The 9,340-nt window shown below is 34.8% G+C and overlaps 1 protein-coding gene across 1 annotated transcript in view; it reads left to right on the forward strand.

Moving 5' to 3' along the window:
- Positions 1-8,916, forward strand: part of NHLRC2 (NHL repeat containing 2) — a 62,534-nt gene extending 53,618 nt beyond the window's left edge. Inside the window, exon 11 of the mRNA NM_198514.4 lies at positions 2-8,916. Within this exon, the coding sequence (NP_940916.2) occupies positions 2-258 (257 nt within the window). The 3' untranslated portion in view covers positions 259-8,916. The remainder of the gene's footprint in view (position 1) is intronic.
- Positions 8,917-9,340: the final 424 nt, after the last annotated feature.

Genomic DNA, 9,340 nt, shown 5'->3' on the forward strand with positions numbered 1-9,340 from the left:
GGCAATGAATGGCTACTTCAAGGACAGATAGCAGCTGGAGATATAGAGAACATTTCCAGTCAACCAACAATTTCACTACAAATTCCTGATGATTGCTTATCACTTGAAGCCATTGTATCTGTCAGTGTGTTTCTTTATTACTGTAGTGCAGACAGCAGTGCTTGTATGATGAAGGCAATTTTGTTCAGTCAGCCTTTACAAATAACGGATACACAGCAAGGTTGCATAGCTCCAGTAGAGCTCAGGTATGTATTTTAGCCAGCCAGCTAGCTAGCAACCCATTGCCACCACCTACTGTCTCCCATCCTGACTATCACTGTAATTTAAGGAAAGAAAACTTCAGTTCTGCCTCTGGATACCAAGATGCCCATTGCTCAGTTCAGACAACTGATATTAAAATAAAGCTATGCTCCTTACTTACTTCTTTTATTATAAACAAATTCCTTTGCTTTGGCTGATACTAGCTGAGTCATTGATCATCATTGGTACCATGATATTGTAATCTATGCTGCTATTTGGCACAAGACTGAAGTTCACACTACAGTAGAGAATACTATAAGATAATTTGCAATAAATACTGATAATAATAATACCAGATATTTTAACTAACTTTTTCTACCTTTATTAATAGCAATCAGCACACTTGAATGTGTAAATTTCACAGTAACTTTAGGCAGAACTTAAGCTCCAGGCCACATTTGTATAAGAACACCAAGTATTCAAGGCATAAAGTCTGTTGTAAGCCAAAAAAAAGTCTTTTCATCACTGTAGAAGCTTAAGGAGTACATCAGTGGTAAATACGATCTTTATTCTCTTCTGTGGTTTTCTCAGTTGAGATATTTTTAAAAGAGAGTTTTGATCTATTTTTATTATAAATTATTTGTTATTTAACATACCATTATGAATGCCTTAAAACTTTGTACAGATAAAGTTGGACATAGAATCTCTAAGGACTGACTCCTTTAACTGTTTTTGAGTGACTACATTACCAGATAATGAATGAGTCCCCAGAAATATTATGACTTTCAAGGAAAAAGGGACTTTAGGACACATTACTTAGTGTCTGTGATAAATAATTTATTGTGACAGCTAAATCTGATGGTTACATATCTTGTTTTGGAAATGTACATTTCACTTGTAAGCATTAAATGCAGATTTGTTGAGTTTAGGTTTTGAGGTTTTTTTCGTTCCCATATTCAGAATTTAAATTATGATCATTTATTGTGATGTTTTTAAAAATCACTTTTAAGCCTTAAAAGTGAAATTTTCAGTGTGAGGTGCTTTCATGCTATTAATAGATACAGTATATCCTAATATATTAGTCTTCAAAATATTAAGGCCGAAACAGTGATTTAATGATACTATTTTTTAATTTTTGTTGTTTTTTATCCCTAAAAAAAGATATTGGAAAGGTTTTTTTTCTATTGTCATAATTTATAACTACTTAAAAGCCTAATCTTGTTTTCCTTAAGACCTATTCAACATGTTTGTGATTTAATCAGCTTACAAGGGTTTAAAAACATCAGGTGAACCATGTTTATTTATTCAGTAAATATTTATAGACAATATGGCATAATATGCTTCCCTTCCCTGTAAAAACAGTGCTAAATTTGAAGTGTAATCTTTTTTAAACATCATTGTCTATTTTTAATTTTGTTTGAAATGTAGTATTAGTTTGTTTTATTCATAAGGTTAGCTGAATCTCTGAAGTAAGGATGTATAAATCATGACATTGATTTAATTAGTCATCTACTGAAGCTACTTTTAAAGAGAAATATAGATATAAAATTAAAAGGAATCCTGTTTAAAATTATATGTAATTACCTCATAAACCTTTTCTCTCCACAAGCAATCAAAAAAATGAAATGTTCTGTAATAAAAGGGTGTATAACATACTCTCTTTTATGAGAATAGGCCTTAGTTATTTTATTTTATTTTTGAGACGTAGTCTGGCTCTGTAGCCCAGGCTGGGAGGGCAGTGGCGCGATCTTGGCTCACTGCAACCTCTACCTCCTGGGTTCAAGAGATTTTCCTGCCTCAGCCTCCCAAGTAGCTGGGATTACAGGCGTACACCACCATGCCCAGCTAATTTTTTTGTGTTTTTAGTAGAGACAGGGTTTCACCATGTCAGTCAGGCTGGTCCCAAACTCCTGGCCTCAGGTGATCCGCCTGCCTCTGTCTCCCAAAGTGCTGGGATTACAGGTGTGAGCCACCTTGCCCTACTGGCCTTAGTTAATTTTTAATCTCATTTGACTTATTATGTTTCTCATTTCTAGATGGACAGGATGAGAATATTTTGGCCCAATCATTTTCTGTTTAAGGACTTAAACAATTTCACACTCTAAATGAAGTATATACAATTTTAATTTACTAATTTAGAAATATCTGAGTTTATTTTTCAATATAATATACAAACACAGTGTTTGTTATACATGTTCATGTACAGTGAAAATGCAAAGGCATTTTTTAGACTCTATTCCCCTTCATTTGTCTAGACAGTTTTAGGTTAGCCTTAGCTTATACTTTTCTTGACTTTCAAAATACAGTTTTATTGAACATTCTTATTCTTACCCACTGCCAGTCTGCATTGTTTTTTACATTAAAAGTATTATTTATAGTAGACTAATATGATTTTGAATAAAATCACACTTAAGCAATATAGATAGGTTCCTAGAATTTATGACGAGGATAAACCTCTCACATAAGAGGAAGCACTAGAAAGTTTATTTTTAAAACTTGTTGATCCATATTCTATAAGGACTAATGCATATTTTTTATCTTTTGCTTTTCTTGTTGGATAAATTATTATGTCCAGTGATAGTTTAAAAAGAACAAGATTTTAGTGTAAGTCACCTCACTTGAAATGCCAGTAATGTGGTATTACACACATTTTATATAATACCTGGAATCTTTGCCCTAAATTATTCTGCTGGTTTGTCGCTATTTTTTTCCTCTCCTCTTTATTATTTCACAAATGGTAGAATTTCTTGATATGATTCTTGTAAAGAGTTTAGCTTATCTTGAACATTCTGTCTTAAGCAAATATTTAACAAGAGAAAACTTTGTAGTTTAATCACCCATAAGTGTAACTTTAGCAAAATTCAATGACTATGAAAAATAATTTTTTTCTTAACTGTTCTAATAATATTTAGTTATAATATTATCAAACCTTCAGAAAGTTATAAATCCTAACAGCCAGAAAAAAAAATTTACTATGTGTATATTTATATAGGTGTGTGTATACACAAAGATTAAGAATTATTCATGATTCTTTTATGGCCAATATACTTTTGAGCTTGTATAACTGAGATAAGTTACTCTTTGCTTGTTTTTCTGTAGTTGGAAAATTTAGGAAGTTATTAAAAATACATATCTCTATAATGTAATAGTTTTCTGCCTGCACAAAGTTTACTATTAATTTATGTCTACCAGTTAAAAATACGATAGTTAGATTTGGCATCACGTTTAACCACAATCATCAAAATCTACTTAAATTCTATAGTTAACAGTTACATAAGAATATATGCAGAGGGAAAATGTCAATAGTTCTTGTGAATGAAGGAATTATGGATGTTTTTATTTTAATTCTACTTTGCTGTTTTTTTTTTCTTTTCAGTGAGCAATCTGTTATTTTTAAAATCACGGTGGGGGGAAACCCATAAAGTTTAAAGAGTTAAAGTTAACTGAATCGTAAGCACTTATATAATAACTTTTTAAAAGTCATTTTTATTACCAGAGCTCAGAACATTGTTTGGAGTCCTTTGATCTACCGGTTCTCTTAAGTACGTGATTTCGTGAAGATAGCAATGGTTATGGCTTTTTTGTTCTGTTATTTTTATTGTGTAACGTAGTGTAGTGGTTAAGAGCTTGGATTTTGCAGTAACTTGGATTCTAATCCTTTAAAATGGGGCTGATATACCTGCCTCATATTCAATGAAATATTGTGTGTACAGCACTTAGTAATTAATGAAACTGGTAATTATTAGCTTAGTTACTGTAATGATAATTTGGGACCATAAACACATATCACCCTACATTTTCTTTGCAACTACAATTTGTGAAGGAAAATCTCCCACTAACTATTGGTTATGTTAATATTCTTCATAGAGTTGGGTTCAAGAAGAGAAATGTTTTATAATGAAGCATATAACTATTTTATAAACAACATTGTAGTTATAAAGAAGCATGCCTATAGTGTTATTAAAAATTTTTTGTACGACTTTCTGGAGCTACAAGTAATGAACTTGCTTTGAGAGGGTCCAGACATACTCATCCTGAACCACATTCCTACAACATATGCCCAACAACCTGCACCAGAGTACTTATATCTTAACCAAAAAGTTTCACTTCAATGGTGGTGCTTCACAAAATCTTCAAAGTGCTTTCATGTGTATTGCCTCATTTGAGCTTCAAATAACCTTATAAATCGGGCAGGTAGATGTTAGTTTACAGAGGAGGAGACAGCTTTGGAATAGTGGTGACGTATCTGAAGAATAGAAAACCGGAATAGTGCTCGATGCCTGAAGTGGTGCCTGGCGCCAGCAGATGTTCACTTCTGTCAAACAAGGGGAAGTAGTGGTGGAGCCTTTATTCAGGCACGGGTCTCCTCATTCCTAACTCCAAGATGCAGAGGGAAAACGAACTGCTCAATTAAGAGTTCTTCCATGGACACTTTCTTAAGCCTTCACATAAAATAACAAGAATAATAGATATTTATTGAGTAGATATTTATTGAGTTCTTTCTATTTTCCAGCACTCATCTATTAAGTGCTTTTATGTATTAACTCATTTAATCCACACAACAACCTTATGTGAGAAATACCATTTTTCCTTATTTGATTGGTGAAGAAGCACACAGAGAGGGTAAGCATAATCAAATACACCAGCATAACCAAAATCACACATTTAGCGAGTGGCAGGGCCTGGATGGGAGTCTGTTCAACTCTCTGCTGTATTGCCTCTTAAAGTAGGTTTTCTTAAAACATAAATCTTTCATAACTTTATATATTTATAGTAACTTAATCCAAAGAACCCCAAAAGTACTAGCAATGATTGTTTCTGCAATTTAAATAAATCCATTTAATTATACAACTTTGCATTATATACTGTTATTCAGACCTTGGAACAGTCTATAATTGTTTGTCAAAAGATTTTATGTACTACTTTTTCTTAATTTCAGATATTATCCAGAGTTTTTCTTGGCAGATGGATGTATTAAAAAAATAGCTTTCCAGTGTTAGTTCTCAACAGTGCTGTTTCAAAAGTTGTTTTAAAAGTTCTAACGGTTGGTCTTCAAAACGTAATTAAGACCTTATCATAAAGAGCCTTTTGCACAGGACTATCTCAAACCCTAAGAAGCTATTCATATTTAAGAAAATTTTGTTGTATTAAATATTAGTCCAAGTGAGCTCTGGAAATACAGTCTTCTGCTTTCTTGTTTCATAAATAACACTGGTATGCAGACCCCTCCCCATGACTCAAATATTAATATATGCAATTCTGTTACAGTAAAGTTTTCACCATGGTCAACCTATTCCAGCATTAGGTACTTTTTGTTGTTGTTGTTTTGTTTTTTTTTTTTTTTTTTGAGATGGAGTCTCACTCTGTCACCCAGGCTGGAGTGCAAGGGTACAATCTCAGCTCACTGCAGGCTCCACCTACCGGGTTCAAGTGATCCTCCTGCCTCAGCCTCCCAAGTAGCTGGCGCTCACCACTACTGGTGCCCACCACAATGCCCGGCTAATTTTTGTACTTTTAGTAGAAACAGGGTTTCTGTTGGCCAGGTTGGTCTCGAACTCCTGACCTCATGTGATGCGCCTGCCTTGGCCTCCCAAAGTGCTGGGATTACAGGCGTGAGCCACCGTACCCAGCCTAGCATTAGGTACTTTGTTTTGTTTTGTTTTGTTTTTGTTTTTTTTGAGATGGAGTTTTGCTCTTGTTGCCCAGGCTGGAGTGCCATGGCAACACAGCCTCCACTTCCTGTGTTCAAGCAATTCTCCTGCCTCAGCCTCCTGAGTAGCTGGGATTACAGGCGTCTGCCACCACGCTTAGCTGATTTTTTGTATTTTTAGTGGAGATGGGGTTTCGCCATGCTTGCCAGGCTGGTCTCGAACTCCTGACCTCAGGTGATCTGCCTGCCTTGGCCTTCCAAAGTGCTGGGATTACAGGCGTGAGCCGCTGCGCCCAGCGCACTAAATACTATTAAAAGGAATTAAGCAAAATGCTACGTACCAATGATTATGATTCATGATCACCTAAACACAGAATGCAGACTTAACTTTTCATTCTTAGTGTGCTAATTAAGTAGTAGTATGGTGCAGTAAGGAATTTTGTTAATTTTGTTATAAACTCCCTCTCCTGAAATCCGTAAGGAAATGTGATAATAAGAAAGTGATAATAGTGTCATATTTTAAAAGTAGAATCCACTGTTAAGCACCAAGATTACCTTTTCTTCCCCCTGTGGCACAGTTTATTTAAATGAAGTATTAGCAATAATCATGTCACTATTTTGTCCTGAATAATTAAGAGTTTGCTTTTTTCCCATGTCTTTGCAATAGGATAATATAAAGAATAGTATTAAAAGTCAGAGGCTTTACTAATCTACCTATATGTATTCCATGGCTAACAAACCCTGGCCCCTTTACATATGAGCTCTGGAGGTTCGCCTGGCTGCCTCAGGCTTGCAGAAGGCTGCCCCAATCACAGAGCCTGGGTAAGGTGGAACAGGAGGCAGCCCCACTCGGCTTTTCTGATTGCATCCCACCTGTTTCTGAGTGTGTTGGTTTGGTTTAATTCTTTTCAAGGGTTGGAGTTGGAAAGTGAAAACCCTAGACACTTGCTGTGGAATGTTTGCCTGGTTGTATTGGTGTGTCCCTCTTCTTCACTGGCATGTCGCTTTCAAGTGTACCAAAGGACATTTTGTTCTGTTGAAAGCCACAGGACCAAAAGGAAAATATTGCAACTATTTGCAAACATACTTCCCTACCTGTACAAGCAGCCATATACTAAAAAGCACTAAACAAGCACAAATGAACACTAAATAGCCTTATACCAAAAAGCATTCTTGTAACTGTCAGGGCATGGTATGAATTCCTTCCTCTTTAAGCAGCAACTTACCACAGGCTTGGTGGCTTTAAGTAATATAGCATTAAGCAAATGGTCAGTTATTTTTTAATGTTGAAAACTTCCAAGTGTGAATAATACGGACATAGTTTACTACCTTTTGCTTTTAATATACCTGGTTATCTATTTCCATTTGAAATAAAATGAAAGGAGACCTCAAACTGATGCTGAGAAGTAGACAAAATCAGCTCTCAGACTTAACTCTCCCCAATTAAAATAGTTTTTTTTTCCCTTCCCATTTTTTTGTTTTTAAGAGATAGGGTCTTGCTGTGTTGCCCAGGCTAGAGTGCAGCAGTGACATGATCATAGCTCACTGCAGCCTGGAACTCCTGGGCTCAGGATCCTTCTGCTTCGGCCTCCTGAGTAGCTAAGACCACAGGTGTGTGCCACCACACCTGGCTAATTTTTTTAAAATTTTTTGTAGAGATGGGGACTTGCTATGTTGCCCAGACTGGTCTCGAACTCCTGGCCTCAAGCCACCAACCTCTCAAATTGCTAGAATTACAAGCATGAGCCACCACACCTGGCCTGTTATTCCTTCTTTATCTAATGTGTGCTAAGCTTGTGAAAAATATATGTTGAGGTAAATAGGGCAAAACATTAGTTGATAAATTATGCTAATTAATGGGAAAAATAGACATGTTCCTCTCTGAACATTTAGAAGGACTCTGCCCTACAACTATCTTCTGTTTTTAGAATTTGTAGTCACTGTTCTTAGTGCCACTGGAAATATATTCATTCTTTGAGCATGTACAGGGTGGGCTCCCTGTTGTATTTATTACACTTTTCAAAATGCCAGCAAGTTTTTGTTTGTATAGAGTTGGAATGTATTGTTCGTGCATGCCTGTGATATTCATCATCAAAATATACCTGTAAAAAATAAACTACTGCTTCCTCTCCACAGCTTAGGCCTCCCTCTTACTAAAAACAATAGTAGTTTCTGTAGAAGTTTCAGTGAGAAATTATGGTTATATAAATAACAGATATGGCAGAACAATTTTGTTGTAGTATTTTTTTCCGTAGCATTTCTTAATAATAGCTCAGTTTTTAAAGGAGGGGAACAATACCCCATGAGTTCAAATTAATTTTCTCTACTTTGAGGTATACCTTCCTAATTATATTTTACATAGGCTGTTTTTTTTAAGTTTAAATTCTCACTGTTAAGTTGCATTGAGAGACAATTAGAAATGTTGTAATTGTCATATCTTTACATGTGGATTATGAACAAATGAAAGTTTGCTGTGTGATTGCAGTTTTAAATTATAACATTTCATAAATATGTCAATTTTAGAAACTCAAACTCTTTCCCATCTTTTGTATGGATAAAGTTTATGGTTTCATTTCTGAGAATAGAGTTGGTCTGCTGTGCTAACTTCATGTTTCTTATTCCAAAGGCTTGATTATATTTTTTTCTCCAGTGATTAAAAATGCAGCGAAAATCCAATCTACAAGTTCATATATTGGTATTTCTAGACATAGTCTAGTTCTAAAAGAATGTACTTGGTGTGCATTTTTAAGTGTTTCATGTAGACAGATTAATATATTTTTGTACAACATTGTATTTCTACATTTATTTCAAGACTGTACTTTTCAGTGACTTTTTCAAGTGCATGTGTTAACAGAAGATTGTTTGGAACGAGAGTGCAGTGGCTTCTTTACTAGCAAAGAGAAGTGTAATACAAGTGATCATAGAAGGTGAGAATGTGTTTATACTGTATATGGAAACCTAATGCCTCTTTTCTAAAGCTTTGTACATTTTTTTCGTGAAATAGATTAAATATTTTCTCTCTAAAACCATGTTTCTGTTTTAATGTGCTTTCTAAGTATATCATGAGGTAACTCTACTACTTAGAAACCTGTAAGCTGTGATTTACTTGAGCTTTTGGGGAAATGGAAAGCAGAATACTTAGTTTAAAAAAAATTTTTTTTTAACTGCAAGCAGATACCTCAAGATCAAATCATGCAATCATAATTAGAGATTTTTAATATATATATTGGGAAAGGGTAATCTATTCAATAAACGATACTGGGAACATTTGAAAAGAACAACAACAGAAATTAGATCTCTATCTAACACTGCACACTGAATTTGAAAGGAATTAATGACATAACATAAAAAATAAAATTACAGAAACGCCAGAAGAAGATAAAGGAGATGTCCTATAGTGTTGAGGGTGAGGATGGCATTCCTGAGAGTGACCTGAAGCCCAAAAGCATG

The sequence above is a fragment of the Homo sapiens genome, chromosome 10 (genome assembly GCF_000001405.40).
Source record: "Homo sapiens chromosome 10, GRCh38.p14 Primary Assembly".
Taxonomy (NCBI): domain Eukaryota; kingdom Metazoa; phylum Chordata; class Mammalia; order Primates; family Hominidae; genus Homo; species Homo sapiens.